This window comes from Homo sapiens, chromosome 6 (genome assembly GCF_000001405.40).
Source record: "Homo sapiens chromosome 6, GRCh38.p14 Primary Assembly".
In the NCBI taxonomy this organism is placed as follows: Eukaryota; Metazoa; Chordata; class Mammalia; order Primates; family Hominidae; genus Homo; species Homo sapiens.
Window position 1 is genome coordinate 119,338,120 of NC_000006.12, and position 21,232 is coordinate 119,359,351.

The 21,232-nt window shown below is 40.3% G+C and overlaps 1 protein-coding gene across 4 annotated transcripts in view, besides 4 other annotated features; it reads right to left on the minus strand.

The window, feature by feature from the left end:
* The window catches only part of MAN1A1 (mannosidase alpha class 1A member 1), a 173,401-nt gene extending 160,915 nt beyond the window's left edge, over positions 1-12,486 (minus strand). For 2 of the 4 annotated variants that reach the window (XM_005266986.5, XM_047418775.1), the window contains exons 1-2: positions 12,408-12,486; positions 10,344-11,168 (exon numbers count right to left, since the gene is read on the minus strand). In XM_005266986.5, the coding sequence (XP_005267043.1) occupies positions 10,344-11,168; positions 12,408-12,434 (852 nt within the window). In that variant the 5' untranslated portion in view covers positions 12,435-12,486. The other 2 variants (NM_005907.4, XM_011535833.3) reach the window with 2 other exon arrangements.
* Positions 10,113-10,462: an enhancer, noted in NCBI's record as "active region_25017". NCBI's record gives its function as "activates an Ori minimal core promoter by ATAC-STARR-seq in GM12878 lymphoblastoid cells {active_cell/tissue: GM12878}" and the evidence as "EXISTENCE:reporter gene assay evidence [ECO:0000049][PMID:35858748]".
* Positions 10,673-10,792: a silencer, noted in NCBI's record as "silent region_17510". NCBI's record gives its function as "represses an Ori minimal core promoter by ATAC-STARR-seq in GM12878 lymphoblastoid cells {active_cell/tissue: GM12878}" and the evidence as "EXISTENCE:reporter gene assay evidence [ECO:0000049][PMID:35858748]".
* Positions 10,853-11,052: a silencer, noted in NCBI's record as "silent region_17511". NCBI's record gives its function as "represses an Ori minimal core promoter by ATAC-STARR-seq in GM12878 lymphoblastoid cells {active_cell/tissue: GM12878}" and the evidence as "EXISTENCE:reporter gene assay evidence [ECO:0000049][PMID:35858748]".
* Positions 11,563-12,202: a silencer, noted in NCBI's record as "silent region_17512". NCBI's record gives its function as "represses an Ori minimal core promoter by ATAC-STARR-seq in GM12878 lymphoblastoid cells {active_cell/tissue: GM12878}" and the evidence as "EXISTENCE:reporter gene assay evidence [ECO:0000049][PMID:35858748]".
* Positions 12,487-21,232: the final 8,746 nt, after the last annotated feature.

Consider the following 21,232-nt stretch of genomic DNA (forward strand, 5'->3'; position numbering starts at 1 on the left):
ACTATCATGTCTAACCACAATTTATAAAAATAATATAGTACATTTATGTCAATCGTTATTCATCACGTTAACACAGTGTTATAGCCAAATTTAAATAGTTCTGGCGCTTGGCAGACTTTTATGAACCAAGGTCAGAATATAAATACATTTTGAAATATGCAGCTCTTCACTATCTTAAAAAACATGACTAAAAACATTTGAAGGATTTAGGGTGGAAAAAAAAAAGCCCAAACTTCACACACAAAATATCATGCTTTTCTTTAAAAATAAAATATCTTTGACAAAATGCATATTTATCCTATTTACAACACTGAAGGCCTCTCACATACAAAAGATTAGCCTGCCTCTTCACACATAAGAACAAATATTTCTAGGAAATCTCATGATTTCCTTTTGGTTAATTTTTCTTCTTTAAGAATTCAGCTGTGTAAGACTTGCCATTTTCTGGCATCATTAAAATCACTTCTGAAATTCTATTTGGACTACTTTTGATCTTCAACTATTAGAAAAGCATCCTGATTCATTCCAAAAGGAGAAAGATCCTTCCGCAGATCTCCAGAGAGGTCAATACCTTCCTCAAGTATCTGAGGCAAAATCCCAACTGTCACTTAAAAATGAAGATGCGCTGGTAAAGCTGGCTAGGTCTCAGCTGAAGGATGTGGGCTGTCCCAAGTGCCTGGTAAGAGCTCCTATCAATAAAGGATATTTTATTCTAAGTGTGCAATCTAGGGGAAAAATTTTTTTTCTTGCAACTTTGCTTTATAAAATCCTAACTCTCGCCTTCAGGACTTTGCCTCCCACAGGAGTCCACGTTCATTGAGCCGGCTTGCCAGATCCATCTCCCCTGGTGGATTTCACTCCTTAGGCCTCCAAGCTCTGCCATCTTCTCTATCTTCCTCCTTTCAAAATTTCCTTGTTCTATCTATACAACTCACAAGGAAGAAATGCAAATGATCAACACAGGAGAAAGTGTTGATCAAAGAAAAGCAAACTGAAAATGCCATATACTGCTTCATCACTTATGAAATTCACAAAGAATCAACAGACTCCATTCATTATATGACACATGGGAGTATAAATGGTTTCTGGAAAGTTATCCCTCAAAATGTACTATCTGTTGGCCAATTTATTTCCCCTCTTAAGAATTTAAGAGAAAATCCCACTTACCAGGGTGTGTGCAATAAAAAGTGAGACACAAATTTACTGGACAAAGCTGTCTGTCTCAGCATTTTTAATAAAAACAAAAAAGTGGAAATAATCTAAATGTTCAGGTCCAAGGGACTGGTTAAATAAAGTATCATGTTTTGACATGGATATACTGTGCCAACATAAAATGACACTTGCAAAGAAAATGAAAAACAAAAAGTATATATAGTGTGGTTATAACCCGGCGTCGGGGGGTGGGAACGAACTTACATATTGGGGTTAGGGAGGAGCATCATTGACACTACTTAGTGACTGATAAAACTATGAAGGATTTGTTTTTTTTTTTCTACTCTAGTGTGCTTTCAAATTTTTCTTTCCCAAGCAGACATGAGTTTATAAAGCGAAATAAGACAATGGAAGATACTTGCTTCAACAAACCTATTCTATCCTTTGATAAGACAAATCTCAAAGTATAATATTAATAATTCTGCTGAGCAACTTTATCCATCTATTTCTAAAGCAAGCCTTTAAGAATCAATAAATGGACACGCATGGTGGCTCATGCCTATAATCCCAGCACTTTGGGAGGCCAAGGTGGGTGGATCACTTGAGATCAGGAATTTGAGACTAGCCTGGCCAATGTGGGGAAACCTTGCCTCTACCAAAAATACAAAAATTAGCCAAGCATGGTGGCAGGTGTCTGTAATCCCAGCTACTCAGGAGGCTGAGGCAGGAGAATCGCCTGAACCTAGGAGGCGGAGGTTGCAGCAAGACAAGATTGCACCACTGCACTCCAGCCTTGGCAACAGAGCAAGACTCCATCTCAAAAACAAAAACAAAACAAAAACAGTAAAAAGGAAACACTGGTGGTGAATTTCTGGCAGCTGGGAATGAGATTTTGAGACTGGGTAGATACCCCTGAGCTTCCCTAATCATTCCACAGGTCTGTTCTCTTGTCTTATGCCCCGACAGAGAGAGATACAGTGAGGAAACACACTCCCCTTTTAGTACATAGCTCCAGCATGTATTCCCGTGAAAGAGGAACTAGGGACAGACAATCATGACCTAAACATCAGCTCAGGAAGCTGGACATGCCACCCCCAGTGTAGGCTAGGATCCCTGGCCTCCTGTCCTATTTCTGAGATCATCCTGTCACTTAGAAGAATTGAGTGTTCTGAAGGGACCTTGAGAAGACCATTTAATGAGGAAGGATTTGGCAGAAATGGAGACACTAGCAATAGCTTGTAGTCTATGGATGGCTTGAGTTCACGTCTTGGCCATAGTCATTCACAGGCCTTCGGACACCAATTACTGCCACCCCCTTTCTCATAAACTCCTAGCACAGACAAACAGGCACCAGCAACAAAGGTTGTTTCAGAGGGTAGCAATGCTGTGTTATTAAACCACCCTTTCAGAACTTGGTGTCCTTCATCAGGTTTTTATCCCCTCATCTCCATGCCCTCTCTCATACTAAGTTGCTAATACTAAACACTCCCACACAAGACAGGACGATCTAATTAGTGACCCACATAAAAACATGAACAATGCAAATGAAAAGTTAATATAATATGTTCTGAGTGTCACTTGAATGAACGATGTAGAGCAAGAGTGATGAGAAAGCAGCAGAGCAAATCAGGAACTGGGCTTTTGATAAACTTAAGAGCCAGGGAGATGAGCAGACTGAGAAACACGAGCGAGAAGGAGTCATTCTAGTCACAAAAGTCAAGTAAACAGGAAGGATACGTGTACTTTTCAATTTTATTATCTCTGTTCTGGATTATCTGCAGGACTGCTCAGCTCTAAAGTACCTAAAGCAACTACCAGAGTATTCATGACAGAAATGAGGGCTGTGACTTTTAAATGCTCTTAAGCCTTAATCTCATTTGGTTTTTTTTCAAGTACCTAATGATCACAGAAGTCTTTATCAAAACTCAGTGGGGGCGGGGCACTGCTGCCACATTCTCCGGAGCAAAGGAATTAGCCAGTATTGCTTTCTTAGGCAATCCCCTACCCAGCAAAGACGTCCCACCTCCCTCTAGGATGGTCTCAGTGGGGCTTCTGGCAGTTGGCCTGCCATTTAGGGCTGAGGAGGAGGGAGGGCCTGGTCAGCCAGTCACCAAAGCACACGTTCTCATTAGAGTCAAGATTATCCCAGGTGGAGTGGGGCCTGGTTCTCAGTACTTCTCAACACCTAAGAAGCAATTCTCAGCTATTGTTTGTACACTGGGGGAATCTCAGGAAGTCACAGCTCACAGGCCTTATTTCTCATGTGTAAAATGAGTAGTGGGTCTGGAATCCTAATAAATCTAAATTCAATGTGAAGGTCTCAAAAAGACCAAACTCTCTGAGCTACAAAATAAAACTGATTTATGCTAACTTTGACTACTAAGTGATGGACTGAGCTCTGATTATAGAATTTATCATAATTATATAATTTTTGCCAAGCCTAAAATAATAATTCTCACTTCTTAAAAACATTCCTCCAAGATGAAACAGATTGAAATTCACTTTACTCGATCTCTCTCTCTATTTAGAAGAATAACTTCAATACTTAAGATAGATAACTCAGCCAAGGCATGGTGGCTCACACCTGTAATCCCAACACTTTGGGGTGCCGAGGTGGGAGGACTGCTTCAGCTCAGGACTTTGAAACCAGCCCGGGAAATATAGTGAGACCCGATCTGCATTGTGTAAATAAAAAAATTATTTATTAGAAAAAAGAGAAATTAAGATAACTCGACTGTGACTACTCTGAAAGATGGTATCTGCGGGAATAGGCATATTTGACTATGAGAAAGAGACAAATTAATTCTTTAACATATATTCTGAAGAAGCTGAAGATGTATATGCAGTAAGTATATCATTCTAAAGATACTTAAGTTTTTTTGGAATTTGGTAAAAATCAAAGAAAATCAGAGTTGACCGTAGCAAAATAAAATTATAGGTATGGAAGATCTTTTTGATGAACTGGAAATGTATCCCTTTAAGCACTAAAACTCAATTTTAACTATTTTTGATACCCTTTTGAAACTTCATTATCCACTTTCCTGAGTTATTAAACAGCATATGGATCAATGCAATCTTGGCTTGATGGCTTTAGGTGGTGACCAGTAACAGCAATAATCACAAGCAGCATTTGTTGTGTGCCCACTTCATGTCTGATACCATTCTAAGTGCTTTACTATCACATTTAAGCCTCAGGATCCAACAAAGTGGGTACTATTAACCTCATTTTACAAATGAGGAAACTAAAGTTCTGAGAGATTAAGTAATTTGCAGACGGTCACAAAGCAAGAGAATGGTAGAGGCCAGATTCAGACCCACGTTATCTGAGTCCAGATCCACCCTTCTAACCACTACATTGCTTCAAATGGATGGATCAGAGACAGGTAAGTGCATCCCAAAAGAGAATCGCCAGAACCTACTTGGGTGGAGAGAATTGCCCATAGATTGGTGTGATTTTTACATGTCTACTTTTAAAACAATCATCCTTTAGGTTAGCTGTCATTCTTCTATTATCCATGGTGCAATATCAGAAGAGCACACACATTTATAATTTTAAAGCAGCCCTTCTAGTCATCACATGTCCCTTCTCTGGGTGATCCCCTTTCACCCTTTGTATATACAGTAACTCACTCTCTTCTTCTCTCCCTTCCTTCTTCTTCCCCACTTTTCCTCATAAAGAATGTTTAACTGAATGATTACAAATGCCTGTGCTTCTTGGAGAGATCTTTATAAAGAAAACAAGATGTCCTATCAAGCTTTCCCCGGGTGTCTTTACAAAGAAGAAGATTTCTAAACCATGCCACTGGTAAGATTTTTAAAAATTACTATAATTGACTTAAAAACTACTTTGATCCATCGTTGGCTGAAAAAAAAAAAAAGAAAAACCACCAACTTAGTATAAGGTCAAATTTATAATAATGCAGAATTGTATGTTTTCTGTACTCTCTATTAGGGTCTGCAAATAGTAAGCACGGATAATTTATACAATTCTTTGGGGTTTTATTTAGGAGACAAACCATGTGGGAGACAATGCGCAACACTCACAGAAGACTGGGGCTTCCCTCTGCAACTCAACTCTGCCACTAGCTGGTGATGTGATTTCCAGAATGATCTTTGTGTCTTGGTTGCCTCTACTGTAAAATGAATGAGCTACCTCTCAGATCTCATTCAGATGCAATACCTTACGACTCGGAGCATACACTTAGTTTTAAAATCTGAGATTTAAAGTTATCATGGCATAATTTGCAGAGTTTGTGTAAAGGGCCTTTTAACAGATTGAGAGGTTGGGGGTGGGGATAAGATATAGTTCAATCACTGAACACCAAGCAAGGAACTAGGCTAAGAATACTGAGGGAAAAGTCAAGACTTATTTCCTCAAAGAGGGAATCTCTTCCCTAAACTACCAAACAGGTATCTTGTTTATTATTTTCGTCTACTTGGCGGGGAGGTTGTTTTGCCACTCGTTTCACAGTATCTCTGGAGCCCACAGTGGCTGTTCCTATTTTGACTAATCAAACCCTTCTTTGACCAACATACACAAGATTATAAAGAAAGAAATTTAAAAGACCACAGGTGCTTGACTGGGTTAGGAGGTATAACCAGGTTCCAGTGCAATTCTGATCTACCCTGTGTATTCAGCCCTCATCCCTCACACGGATCTGCAGGCATTCCTCCCCTCTGACCTTCGGACACATGCTTAAAATTCTCTTCAATGAAAAATTTGTACCACCACAGCTTATGAAATAATCTGATTCAAATATGTAAGTTCTTCAATGAATTCCAACCAATTCAGATCTCATACAAATGCATTTTGTGTAATACTAAGATAAATTTTTCAAGATGGTTTAGTTCATTAGCTCACCTAAGAAGTACAGATAGATGCATTTGTTTGAAAATATTTTTTAAAACCTCTTTTCACACTTTTAACTAGTTTCTAAGTCCCATATACATAAGAAGCTCCTTTATATGAATCCCAGTTGCCTTGATAAGAGGAAGACAGAATATTCTAGGAGAAACTATCAACAGCTTACAGAAAATGAAGCTGAACATAATTAACTACCCATTACTGTATATATGTATTTTTTTGCTTTTGTATATTAACAGTCAGCACCTACTCCAGTACTTAAACTGTTGAAAACTAACCTACTTGTTAAGGAGAGAAAAACCTTCACAAACACTCCATGTCCTCCCTGCTCTGGGGAAGGGCCTCTGGGTGGAGCAATCCCACACTAGCCTATGTTCAGTAGGGAATGTGTCACGGCACAGTGGCACAGGCAAGCAACCTAAGGATGTTGAAGCTTCTTGGGTCAGGTCTCCAAATCATGGCTTTTATTATTTTGTAAATATTATTTTCCACCCCAGAACTACCCATAAAAATAAACTGGAAAGTTAAGTGTCAAAATAAAAGTGTTTTGTTTTAACCTGCCAAGGCAGATTATTCTCACATCTGATCTTTACCAAAAGGGTATAAACTGTCAATAGTTAATATAAATTATAGGCTATATGCCTAAGGCTAGCATAAAGTATAATAAATGTGAATTTTAACTACTAGCCATCAATATGAAAATGTTCTTTAAATTCATGATTACACAAATAGGTCTGGAATAAAATACTAAAGTCTTGTTTTAGAACTGAGAGAAGAAAACTGTGACCCCACAGGTGCAGGGTCCTAAAGCCTTACATGACAAATCTAAGGCTGCCAGTCTGCACATACCCCTAACCCCCACTTAGGTTGGTGAGGATTCCAGCCTGAGAAGAAAGGAGTCCCCTCTGACAACCTGACTGTCTTTAGCCCCAGCCCCTATTACTCAGGTCTCCCCTTAATTTCAGAAAAACGAAAAAAAAAGTCATCCTCCAAATTGGATTAAGGTTCTAATCCTAAAGGACAGCACAGGCTAATTGAGAAAATGGGAGAGGTTGAGGGGGGGGCGGAGCGGGGGAGAAGGGAAGCTAAAAATGATTTCTGATTAAAAAAAAAAGTAAATGGACTATTTTTCTAAAACTTCCATGCTGCTATTTTAACTTTTGTGCTTCATTATTCTAACACTGCTTTTTAAAGCTAAGGACAACCTGAGTACAATTTTAAGATCAAACTCATGAAAATAAATATACACTATGTATGTATCATAAATCTCAGAGAAATCCCAGGGTTAATTTACAAAATTTTAACAGAGGTGAAGGGAGGAAGATCTTAATTCTATTTTGAAGTTTTACATCAAAGATTCATCATCCATCAAATCAGTAGTGGAAAGCATTTAACATTTTTTGTGAAGCATTCTGTACAATGACCTATTTGAAATTAACAGAGTATCTCCCCTAAGACACGAAGTTGTTAAAAATCTACTGCAGTACTAGTAACATAAATGTGCCATAGATATAAAAAATAGTATTGACTGACTTTGAACCAAGTACAAAATAACAGGTTGACTCAAATTACAATCCAGTCTTCCAACATGTTAGACTTGAGTGCACTTTCTAAATTTTAACTATAAGTGTTGGTGCATTCAGGTGTGATAGAGAACCTAAGTATAAAGAGAATTAGAAAATACAGGAACAGGTCAGGCATGGTGGCTCATACCTGTAATCCCAGCACTTTGAGAGGCCAGGCAGGTCGATCACTTGAGGTCAAGTTCGTGACCAGCCTGGCCAACATGGTGAAACCCCGTCTCTACTAAAAATACAAAAATTAGCTGGGTGTGGTGGCACGTGCCTGTAATCCCAGCTACTTGGGAGGCTGAGGCAGGAGAATTGCTTGAACCCAGGAGGCAGAGGTTGGAGTGAGCTGAGATCACCCCACTGCACTCCAGCCTGGGCAACAGAGCCAGACTCTGTCTCCAAAAAGAAAGAAAAGAAAACACAATGGTAAAGAAAAAAACTAAGGCAAAGATCTACTGGTTGATAACAAAATGTCCACAGTGGTGCCTGAAACTGAATCCAAATACGTAAAGTTAAAGTCCAGTGCCCTATTTACAATGGGCAACCACTCTTGCCTCTCTAAAGCCAAATATTTACAGCACAGTTTTTAGAACAGCATCATAATTTCTTTTTTTTTTCTTTTGGTTTACAAAGGAATATATCTGCCTGAACTAATCTGATGGAAAATCATAATCCATTTCTTCCCATTAGCCTTTGACTAAACACTAAAGCTAATTATGCTGGCTCTTTTGGGTTCTCACAGCAACAAGGAATTTTAAAGAACACATTTAGTTCCACTGCTTTATGCAAGACTGAGCGGTTTCAAAACATCTAGGTGCTAAGATGTTAGACAGAGACTACGTAAATCTCGTTTACACGGTTAATTAAGACCTTGTGATTTAGGCATACAGACAACATGGATCTACTGGATGGATATGCACACTGTTAATATGTTGTCCTGAGTCTGAGACTGCTACTGCCCCACTGGTTCTGCTCTGAATGCACTTGTAATCACTCTTGGTCAGTACCAACAGCTTAACATCTATGTATCTTTCGTATTAAAATCTTTTCCTCGGACAACTGTGATTTTTGTACTAGCTAACTGGCAGCTCGTATGACTTTGGAGGCATGAAATGTATGAATTACACCGTTCAAATTTAACAGAAACACAGGCAGATACAGATCATTTGGGTTAATTTCCTATGGTTTTGGTTGGATATTATTAAGGAGTCTGGGAGGATTTGGTAAGAGGTAGAGCTTTGTTCCACCTTCCTGATTTGGTAGCACAGGCAGGATTTCATGGAGAAAGGAAACTGCTAGACAGTTGTTCTGGAAAGTAGAATCCATTCCCCCAAGTATGGGAGGGTTCTGTCCCTGAGGAGGGGTCTCAGAAAAGCAGATATGCTGATGGACTGTGGAAGGAAGCTATCTGCATAGGAAGGATGAAGACATTCTTCCTAAACCGAAAGGGATCCAAGTCCACTTTAACTTGCTCAATTACAGCTTAACCAAATTCAGCTGATCTTATAATACAAAGTCACAAATCCCATGACAATCCTGCTGCCTTCATTCTGCAGCCACTTAAGCTAAACACCTCTCAACCACCTCAAAAATCTGTTTACTCTCTGAAAATGGGATCAGGGACTTCCTCTCCTGATTACCTACCCAATATGAAAATACAATATTTATTTTCACAGATCGTATTATTTTTTAAATGGCAAAAATATTACTTCCATTCATATTTTAGAAAATTGAACCAAGATTTGGAATGACATGCTTTTAATGTGGTTCCTACAGCTTTTCTATGTAAAACGCAGGCTGGCACCGTTTCACACAGGGAAGTAGCTCAGAGAGGAGGCATGTCCACAGACCGCGTGGTGACAGGTGACTGGGGGAAGTTCGGACCTCGGGCTTCAAGTCCTGACTCATCACTAACGGGTTCTAGAGCTCTGGGCCCTTCGATCTTCATCTTGAAAATGACAGCCTGAAAGGACTTTTTACGGCCCCCTTCAGCTTTAAGCTGGTCCTGACCTAATCACATGTTTCAAGTTCTAACTGAAAATTACGAGAAGGAAATTAGGAAAGATGTATCAAAGTCCATGTTTATCCTGGATTAACTTTGTCACCATTGTGCTGCTGTGGAGGCAAACCTGTTGCATCACATGGAATACCCTATTTCTGGCTGTGCATTAGAAATACAAGAGGCAGCCGACTGGCTTTTTATATTTTCATTTTTTAAAAAAGTAAACAATAGTATCCCTCGATGATGGGAAGTTCTCAGGTTTCACCTTTATAGTCTGAAAGTACACACAGAATGCCACCTGGCAGACAAGGGCCACACAGCTGAACCCGGGGTATGCTGGCTAGCTTTACCACGCGTGAAGACTCACTTTAAAGCCACGTCCCCAATCCTTACCAGGGGGCTGATCAGTGCCGTCGCTGTTACTGGTGGGGCGATTAACCGTGTAGCGGCCAGAGAATGAGGTTTGCGTATTACCTGCCCATGTATTTATACCCACCTCGTGTGGCTTGTGGTCACCAGAGCAAGAGCATGCAAATTAAAAGCAACGAGATTTGACCTTAGATCTTACTGGACACATCTACTACTATATTGGAAACAGGAAAAGAAAGAGCTTTTGACACAGCACCTGGTGGAAGGGGCAAACCTCCATCTCCCCATACATTGCATTGTTGCAGTCTTCAGAGTTTCAAAGGCTTGCCGTTTCTCCCTGAAAAACACGGCCGGTCGGGAGGGATTTCTGGCGCGGCCCACTCACCTCTTTGATCTTTGCCCTTTTCTCGCGGATGGCGGCGTCGGCGGGCTCCCGGCTCTCCACCCCGATTGGGGGCACGAAGTCCACCGGGGGCAGGCCTCTGAACGGCGCCTTGTCACGCAGCTGGTCCTGGGCCACCTTCTTCTTCTCCAGTAGGATGTCTCTTTGGATCTCCTCGGGCAGCTTCTGCAGGGTCTCCTTGGCTTCCCTGAGAGCCCGCTCGTGGTTTTCGCGGATCCTGGCCAAGTTGTCCTCCAGGGCGGCCTCCGGGTCCCCGGGTGCCCCCTCCTCGCGGCGCCGGGCTCGCCCCTCGGCCGCGTCCTCGGCGCGCGCCCCGGGCCCGGGCTTGTGGTCGGCGGCCGGCTGCAAGGCGGGGCTGGAGTGGAACAGGACCCCGCTGAGCAGCTTGGAGGAGTCTGGCAGGAAGAAGATCGCCCCGAAGCAGAGCGTGATGAAGGCGCTGAATACCAGCAGCAGCACGAACTTCTCCGTCAGGCGGAGGGCGGCGGGGCCCGACCCCTTCCTGCCACCGCCGCCGCCGAGCCCCCCGCCCAGGACGCCGCCCGCGGGGCTGCTGAAGAGCGGCAACAGGCCCCCCACGGGCATCGCTCCCGCTGTCCAGTGGTCCGGCGCCGCGCCGCTCAGCAGCCAAACTTCGCCGCCGCTGGGAGTCCGCGGCTGCGGGGCTGGGTCCTGCGTAGCCAGGCCGCCCGACCCCCTCGGCTGGGCTGCGGATCCTCCCTGGGGGAACAACTCCGCGCCGGGTCTTCTCCCCGGGGCGGCTCCTCGGGCACACAGGCACGCGCGACAGACCGCTGGCTGCAGCCCCTGCGGGGAGAGAAACAGTAAAACGTAGTAATTACGGCGATGATAAAGTTTCCAGCGGGTCTCCGCCCTCCGACTCCTGGCGAGCCTCCAGGACCGCTCCCCTTAAGCAGAGTCCTGTCCAGTCCGGGCACCGCCCTCGCAGCCCACTCTCTGGACTTGGGGTGAAGTTATCAGGTCCCGTGGGTAGGGGAGGGGTGTCCCGCGCAGGAAGGGGTCAGGGCAGCGCGCGAGCACCTCGGGGAGGGGCAGCGCACCTCTGGGCAGGAGGGGCGCAGCGTGGGCGGGAGACTCGTCAACTTCGCCCGCTCCCCATCTCCGCGCTGAGACTGCTGCCTCTTTCCTAGGCTGGGCTGAGCGCGCTGTCCCACGGTCCCGCAGCCCCGGCGCGGCTCAGGTGGGCGAGCGCGCCGACCTGCGGGCGAATGGCAGCGAGTAGAGCAGCACGGTACACTCCGCCGCGGCCCCGCGAGCACTAATCTCACTGCCGGTCTTGGGGCGGTGGAAAGCGAGGGAGGCGACGCGGCCGGAGAGTGACGGCGCGGCCGGGCCAATCACGCGCCGCCCAGGGTCCCGCGGGGGCGGGGCCGAGGCGAGGAGGGGGATGCGCGGGGCGGGGAGTTTACGGGAAGCGCAGCCTCGGCGGGGCCCGGCCGGCGGCGGGGAGGTCGCGGGGCCGGGAGGCGCGAGGTAGGCGGGAGCCGCGGTGAGGAGGACGGTCGAACCCGTGGCTGAGGCCCAGCGCCGAGAAGCGGCAGGCAGAGTTCGGGGTCGGGGAGTTTATCCTGCGCTGGCCTCGGCAGGGGTCCCCGGGGTGGTTGATCCTCGACTGGCCCGGGAGGCGCCTGGGTCCGCGCGGGACCTCTCTGCCTCCTCCTCCGACCCGTGCGGGGCGGTCGGGGGCGCTCCCGAGGGGGTCCCGGGAAAGGCGGGGTCTGGCAGGGGGTCCTGGGCGCTGGGTCGTTCAGAAGCACGGCTTTACTCCAGTTACCCTCTTTTTATCCAAGGCCGGGGTTCCCCGGGTGCCTGGTAGCAGTGAAACCCCAAGTCCCTCGGTTAGGGGAGCCGTGACCCTGGGAGCTTTTGAGCTCTCTGGTATAACATCCTTTTACATCCTAAGAGACACAGTTCTGTGCTTGCTTAGGACTTTTTTCGTATGCGCCCTTTCTTCCCCCAAAAAACAAAAAACCGAAAAAACTTGTATGTCTCTCCCGCCCACCCGTACTTTCACTATTCATTTACCTCATAGAAGTTGGTCAAATTTTCCATTCGAAGACGAGTTTTATGCTGCGGTAGCTTCAAGCAATAAGTCGAACACTGTGTTGAAATTAAGTCTTGGATCCGACTACTTCCAGCGAAGTGAGGAGTTGGTCCAATAGAAATTATTTTCCAAAATGTGTTGTAATTCTCCTGTTGCTCCACAAATAAGGGGTTATCAGAGAGGAAAACGTTGACTGACTTCGCATTTCTGAAAGCTGGTTTGTAGTCGCCTTATTTCATCCTTACCCTTCTCTGGAAATGTGACATTAGTTCTGTTTGTGCTTAAGACAAAGGAAACAGCTGGCACCTTTCGGGAAGGTGGCTCCAGTACAGTTGTTTCCAGGTGTTAAGCTGTATGAGAAAGTAGAAAAGTAATCAGAAATCCTTACTAGTTTTCATTTAATCATTTAATTATTAATTTTAACCATCATTATTTGTCGTCTACTTGTTTTGTGTAAAATGAGTAATACACTCAAAGTTCTTGTTAATAGGAAATTATTGTTTGATAAAGCTGGCTTTATGGCTTGGTTATTTTGATACCTGCTATGAAATTCTATGTCCAGAAGAGTGCAGCATATCCAAGCAGGGTAATAAGTTCAGAAGGACTGAAAAAGAAAACAAAGATGATTTTTCTTTAATGATGGAAAGGCAATTTTTATTTCAAACGATTATGCATTTGTAGGTTGTGCATAGGCTGAAAGGTTTGAATCACTGTGAAATAATGTTTCTAACAACATCCTTAAAACTGAGTTACCTCTTGAATGGATAGATAAATAGGAACTGGGTTAACTACCCCAAACGCTAATCTCTTTATGATCATCCTTTTTTGGAATGATTTATTATTTTAAAAATTATGTTGTAAGAATGGAATTATAGCCCCGGAAATATTTAGAAGCTTTATTTCAAATTAATGTTATTAAGTATTCCAGCAAAACAATAAATTCCACTTTTAAGTATATGTTAAAATGGTGATAAATAAAAGTTATAACTTAATTCTATTTCTGACACTTTAATTTTGATACCAAATCAGTTTGGGCATTTAACTTCTGTAGTGGAAATATTAAAAATTTAGTACGTGGGTTTAAGGATTTTTTCCCCTAAAAACTTTAAATTTATCTATGTTGTTTCTACATCTTTTAAAGTAACTATTCTTTTTAAGTTCATCATGAAGCTTATTTTAAGATTTTTTTCTTATTTTCCGTATTTCTTAAATGACAGGGTTATACTTGCAGCCTGGCTTTGATAATATGTTAAACAAGAAGTTAACATGGGTGGTTGATTATAGGTACATATTAAAGGGTGTCTGTGTACATTAGGTGGGATAAGAACTATATAGGAACACCAATATTTGGGCCAGAGCAAATTTGAAAAATTCACAAAGAAGGTATCTGAAGAGGCATAGCAATCGAATTATGCATCCTCTTTAAAATAATCACATGAAGCCCTGTGTGCTCATGGTAAGGGAGGAGTAGAAAATAGTCAACAAGTAAAATTGTGCATTTTGTAGAAGCAAAATCGGACACTTTCCTCTGATTTCAGTACTACAAAGCACTTGACATTCTACCATTGAAAAAAGTACTTTGTACCCTGAGATAAAAATAAAGGTGATTGGTTCTTGTCTTTTAAGTAATGAAACCTTGACTTTGTCCCCTAAGTCAAGACTCCCTAGCCACATCTACCTGAAGGTAATGTCACCATCTTTATGAATGCAATGATAGTGCTGAAATTGCTGTTTCTCATTATGGATGGTCTAATGTAAACCTAAGAACCTTAGTAATTTTGTGGGATTTTTAAAAAAATACTTGCTATGTTTTTTTATTTGGCCAGCCAGTCCTTTTGAAGTATAACTCTCTTGTAATTTTTGCAGGTTTGCTTGCAAACTTAATTCTTACATTTTCCTTTTTCAATACTTAATGTTTTTGTGTATTTCTTTGATAATTTGTAAATTTTTGTGTTTCAAGATTATATCTTTGAATCAAGTAATTTTTTAAAAACCTGATCATCAGTGATACCACAAAACACTACAAAGAAATCCCCAAATAAATGTTGTTGCTTAGATTTTTCTACTTTCAAAAGAAATTACCAAAAGGTAGATTTAATTTTTACATTAACATGCCTAAAATGAAATATAGTAATAATTATGAGCAGACTTACAGAGGAAAAATTGGCAATATTTTTATAAAACTGATAAATTTATATTTTTATAAAATTATAAGTTCTCAAAAATTGAAGTGCAAAAACATTTCTTAGGAAGTTTCTAGGCAGTACTAGTTAGAAGTTTGTGGAAGAATCCTTTTGAGGATTTTTGTTCTCTTACTTTAAATAAAACTTAATCTAGTGAAAGAAATGAATTTAATCTACATGTACAGTAAATAATGACTGAAATTCTCCAACAAGTTAGATTTCTGATAAAATCTTTTAATGGGAGATTTTCTAGGTCACAATAGGTCTTTGCTCTTATTTTTTAAAAAATCCAAATGTAATACGTAAAAAATGATTCATTGTGAATATTAATCTTGAAGTTTCAATACTTCAATGGGCACTCTCAATTTTACATGAGATATATTAAGGTGGAAATTAACCAGAGTTTTAAAGGAAACTATCGGTGTTATTTGTATGCAAATTGGAGTCTACTGTTATATTTCTGATTCCATGTTTTTGCTCTTCCTCAATTTACTTTGGAACTGCCTGAGTGGCAGATTATTTTTATAGAATTCCAATCACATTTTTTTGAGGGGGCGTGGGTGCCAGGGGCAGTGAGGGCAGGAGCCCTCTGTTCCTGCAGGCTCCTGTTGAAAGATATGGTTTTGTTTTGAACACATTTCATAAATATTAACTGTCCCCAACTTAAAAACATTGTGTCCTGCAAGTATTTGTGTGCATTGGCTCTTTGGAACTTTCAGAGCATTTTTCTTCATAGAAACAGGGTTGTAAATGGTGCTTTGGGCTGCTAGCCTGCACTGCAAAGACCTCACCCTAGGGAAGAATAACATGTTGGAAAAAGTACTGTTGCAATGCTGGTAATCAAAGTAACATTAAATTAGAAAAGTGTTTTATTTATTATGAATGTTAGAGCCTGAGGACAAACAGATTTATTTGAAAGAGGAGATATAATGATAGTTTCAGAAATATTCTAAAATCAACTTGCAAGGTCAGAAAGGTGTATGGAAGTTCTTAGGTATAGTTTTCCTTCAGTGTGTGTAGCTTTCTTTTGGTTTGAAAAATATCACGACTACTGCCCTTAAGGTATTTTTACTTTGGTTTTGTTTTGATTTCATTAACAAAGGGACTGAAAGAAATAACAGGGGGAGGTTTTCCTGAGGTCACTGGGCAAGGGTTTGAATAAGAGAGGAATTTATTGTAGAGCACGTGCATGCGCATGTGCTTTACTATGTGACCGTGGCCAAGAAGTCACCTATTCTGTGCCTCTCATTCTTCATCTGCAACTTTGTTGTTCCTCTTAGGTTAAATGATGTAACTAATGTGTCTGGCACAGTAGGCATTTAAGAAATTTAAGTCCATTTTTCCCCTCTCTTAAAAGGGTAATTAATGTTGGGAATGAGGAAATAACAGTGTCTGTGGGATTCTTATAAAGAAGACCCAAGAAAGGATGGCAGGAAGAGATATTTTAGATTATGTGGCTCTTCATATGGTTGTCACTTTTCAACTCCCAGCCCTTATTTGAATAATACCACTGGAGAAGAAAGTATGGTTGGGAGGAACAGCGTTGGGTTTGGTAGCTGGAGAGTCTTAAAATGTTTCTTCACCCTTTATAGGATCAAAAAGTTGACCAACTAATCTACTGCTACTACTACTACTTGTTAATTGGCAATTTATAATTGTATAAATTTGTAGGGTAAAAAGTGGTGTTATGATTTCTGAATATAATGCAGAATACTTAAATCCAGGTAGTTAACATATCCATCACCTCAAATACTTAATATCTTTTGTGGTAAGAACATTTGAAAATTACTTTCTCATCCAGTTGTAAATGTACAGTATTCTATCATAAACTATATTCACCATGCTGTGTGATGATAGAACTAGAAACAGAAATTCCTCTCATCTGAGATTTTGTATCCTTTGACCATTATCTCCCCATCCCCAGCCTCCGCAGGGTAGAATGATGATTCTGTTCTCTGCTTCTGAGTTCAGTTGTTTTAGATTCTATATATAAGGGAGAACATGTGGTATCTTCCATGCCTGACTTATTTCACTTAGCATTGTTCTCCAGTTCCATCCACATCATCACAAATGACAGAATTTCCTTCTTTTTTAAGACTGAATAGTATTCTTCATAGTTCTTAAAGCCTTGAGAAAATGTGAGTGATGGCAAAGTCTCAAAGTAAGGAGACTTATGGTTCAGTGCGTGAAGAATTAGGAAACCAAGGTCTTAGAGCAGAAAGGTGGCACTGAAGAATGCTAACAATGACCACTGGGGTCCTTGTATATAAAATGTTTGAATTGGATGACTTGAGGAGAATATACTATTTCAACTAAGTGAAACAAAGGAAAAGTTTATTTCCATGGCCAGAGAAAGATATAAAATATTTCCTTTTTCAGTTTCTAGTACATTAAATATATTTTTAAAATAAATCAGTTTTTCTTTTAGAAAATCTTTTTTTCTCTCCATTCTCTGTCCCATAAAAACCACATGCTTTTCCAGAACAACAAAAAATTCAGAAAGGGAAAAAAATAGTGAGACGTCATTCTGCCCAGTTATAATTATTTTTCATGAAATAAAGTGAAATGAAACCACCACATGTGCTTGTTCCTATTTTGGAGAAACTATCTACAACTATGACACGACAGCACTTGGCTTCCCAATTTCATTGCAAAATAAATGTACTGTTTGCACAACATGTTCTGTCTTTCATATGGTCCTTGAGGACAGAACCTTGTCTTAGCCTTGGGTCCCTGTAAATGGATAGAAACTTGCCTGCAGTTCTTTGTCCACTAAACTTATTTTTTAAGTTCATTTGGAGCATTCTCCTGGAATGTATAGACTCATTTATGAGATAAGGTGAAAGCAGATCTGTGTTGCAGATAGTACCTTGACAAATTATATTTCTGTATGTTTGATTTGTAGTCATTTCATTTGGCGTAATTAATACTGGTCTGGATTTGGGGAAGGAGAGAGAGACACACACTGAAATTACCATCGGAAAAAAGAAGGGAAGAATTTCAAATCAGTGACCCATGTATTTATTAGACTTAATTGGCTGGAACTGGCAGGATCTCATATACGGTTTCTAAATTACTGGGCGTAAAATGTGATGAGTTTGAGATACTTAGCCTAACTCCTAGATTATAAACAGTTTTTGAACATTCATTGAGATCATTAGGTTCTCCAGTTTTCTCCAAATGCTAAATTTGTGTGATATATTCTACCATGAAAATACTGTCATATCTTTAACAGTAACCAACAAGAAATGAAAATATCAAGTGTTAACAGAGTGCCACCTATTTTATATTTTTATTATTAAAATTCATGTATATCTTCACCAAGAAATTGACTTCAGTATTGTTAAAAGCAAGTCAGCATTATAAATAGTTTACTTAAGTAATTCTAGGACTACTTTTTTTTTATTTCGTAGGTATTCGTGGGGTAGAAAAAACTACTGTAGGAAGAAAGGAAATTTAAATTTGTGTAACTTCAGTTACTAGAGAGCTATATATAATGTGCCATTAAGTACGTTTTATTAAGTGTATGTAGCTTCATCGTTTCTCTCTCTTTAAAAAAAGTGTTTTTCTCTCTGGTAGAAATGTAAAATGGTGCAGCTGCTTTGGAAAACAGTGTGGCAGTTCCTCAAAAGGATAAATATAGAGTTACCATATGATCCAACAATTCCACTCCTAGATACACTCAAGAGAAATGAAAATATATGTGCACACACAAATCTGTACATGAATGTTCATAACAGCATTATCTATAATAGCCAAATGCTGGAAACAACATAAATGTCCATCAACTAAGTGGATGAACAAATGTTGTATATCCATACAAGAATTATTATTCAGCAATAAAAAGGAATGAAATGTTGACACAATACTACAACATGCATGAACCTTGAAAGCATTACACTAAGTTAAAGATGTCAGTTACAAAACACCACATATGGTATAATTATATTTATATAAAATGTCTGAAATAGGTAAATCTATAGGGACAGAAAGTAGATTAGTGGTTGCCTTGGGCTGGAGGGATAGGAGGATGGAGGGTCACCATAACGGTATGAGATTTCTTTTGGAGGTGATAAAAATGTTCTAAAATTTACTATGGGGATGGCTGCATGACTTTGTGGATATACTAAAAAAGTATTGAATTGTACTTAAACAGTTGATTTTTATGGTGTGAATTATATTTCAATAAAGCTATTACCAAAATAATGTTTTCCTTTCAGAACTGTTTTATAAGAATCTTAAGAACCATGGAATATCTTACTAAAAATATATAAAAATAACTAGATGAAGTTGACATTATACTAAATAGCATTATTAAATTTTAAAGTCCAAAAAGTACTAAGAGGATAAGGTCAAGAACCATTTTCAGAAACACAGAAGAAAATGCTATTGTTTTTCAGCTTGAGAAATATGTATTTTTGTTTAGTAGTCAAACCAAGGGAATTTTTTAAAGTTATGAATCACTTCTATGCTGTATACTCATTCCTATTAAGTAAAACATAGTCAAGTAATATCATTCATATTTTTGATATGTGGAAAATTACTATTAAATGTACCTCACAACACTGTACTGACCAAGATGTTTCCAGGAGAACTTAACTTGTTTGTAGTTGGTGACTTTTGTTGTTGTTGTTGTTGAGACAGAGTTTTGCTTTTGTGGTTCAGGCTGGAGTGCAATGGCATGATCTCGGCCCACTGCAACCTCTGCCTGTTGGGTTCAAGTGATTCTCCTGCCTCAGCCTCCTGAGTAGCTAGGATTACAGGTGTCTGCCACCACGCCCAGCTAATTTTTTGTATTTTTCGTAGAGACGGGGTTTCACCATGTTGGTCAGGCTGGTCTTAAACTCCTGACCTCAGGTGATCCACTTGCCTCGGCCTTCCAAAGTGCTGGGATTACAGGCGTGAGCCACTGCACCTGGCTGGCAGCTTTGAAACTTATACAAAATGATGCAGAGGCAAGAAAGCTGGATTGGGAATCAGAAGATCTATTTTTAAAACTGGCTATGAGTTTTATGAATTTAAACAGCCTCAATTCCTTTGTAAAATAATGGGGACTCCTGACTGAAAAATTTGTTGTGAAGATCAAAATAGATATGTGTGTACTGCAGAACGCTGTACAACTGTAAGGTGCTGGAATAACAATTATTAATAATTAAGATAAATCATTGGGAACAGTGGCTCATGCCTGTAATCCCAGCATTTTGGGAGCCTAGGCAAGACGATTACTTGAGGCCAAAAGTTCAAGGTCAGCCTAGGCGACATAGTGAGACCTTGTCTCTACAAAAAATAAAAATGTTATCTGGCATGGTGGCATGTGCTTGTAGTCCCGGCTTAGGGAGCTGGTGTAGAAGGATTGCTTGAGCCCAGGAGTTTGAGATTACAGGTAGCTATGATTATGCCACTGTACTGCCTGGAGAAGAGCAAGATGGTCTAAAAAAAAAGATGTAAATAACACTAATATTGTTTGTTAACATTTTGTATTATTGTTGTTGGAGAACCTAGCATTAAAATTCCAGGCTGGGCGCAGTGGCTCACCCTGTAATCCTAGCACTTTGGGAGGCCAAGGTGGGTGGATCGCCTGAGGTCAGGAGTTCGAGACCAGCCTGGCCAACATGGCGAAACCCCGTCTCTACTAAAAATACAAAAATTGTCGGGCTTGGTGGCTGGTGCCTATAATCCCAGCTACTCGGGAGGCTGACGCAGGAGAATTGCTTGAACTTGGGAGACAGAGGTTGCAGTGAGCCAAGATCGCGCCACTTCACTCCCACCTGGCAAAAGAGCAAAACTCTGTCTCAAAAACAAACAAACAAACAAACAAAACAGTAAAATTATCATTGAGAAGACCAAAGGGATAAAATTTCTTTCTCTGTCTCTCGCCCTCACTCTTGTTCTCACTCTCCCTCCGAGATCCTGAACTCAAAAAGTTAAAATATTTTGAAGAACTTACTATTATTCCATTTTCTAGAGAAATCATGAATATTTAATAAGACATTATCAAATTTATAGCAAAACCTATAACTAACTCTTTTCTGTTCAGTTAATCTCATCAAAATAGAAACCATTATCTTTCATGCCTTCAATAGCTAGTATCAGTATATCCTGAGATCTTTTCTATTGTGCTTTCATATAGTATTCCCCATTTAACTTATATTTCTTTTAAATGGATTTTTATCCTTTTTATTGTTATATATTCTTATAACAAATATAATACATAGGTATAAATAAAATTTAGAATATACAGACCAGCAAAAAAAAAAATGAAAAAAAAAACCTTAAAGTTCTTACAATAATAAGTTATACATGTCTTATAAAACAGCATAATTGTGCTGTCTTTCAAGATGTTCAAATAAACATTGTTTCTGGATTTCCTCCTCCTCCCTCCATCCTTTAAATAATTATTTGTAGTGAGTAGTATCTGTCTTGCCTGACATGGAAAGCAGATGGAGATGCGTAATGCTTTTGCTAAATCTCTAAATGTTCTCATTTTTGAAAAACAGTAACCAATGGTAAATGAAAGAAGTATTATCACTGATTCCTCTTTCTAATCAGTGGGGTTTTCTATTTACTCTGACCACCTATTTCGTTACTCTTACTGGATGCCAAATCATTACAATGTGATTTGG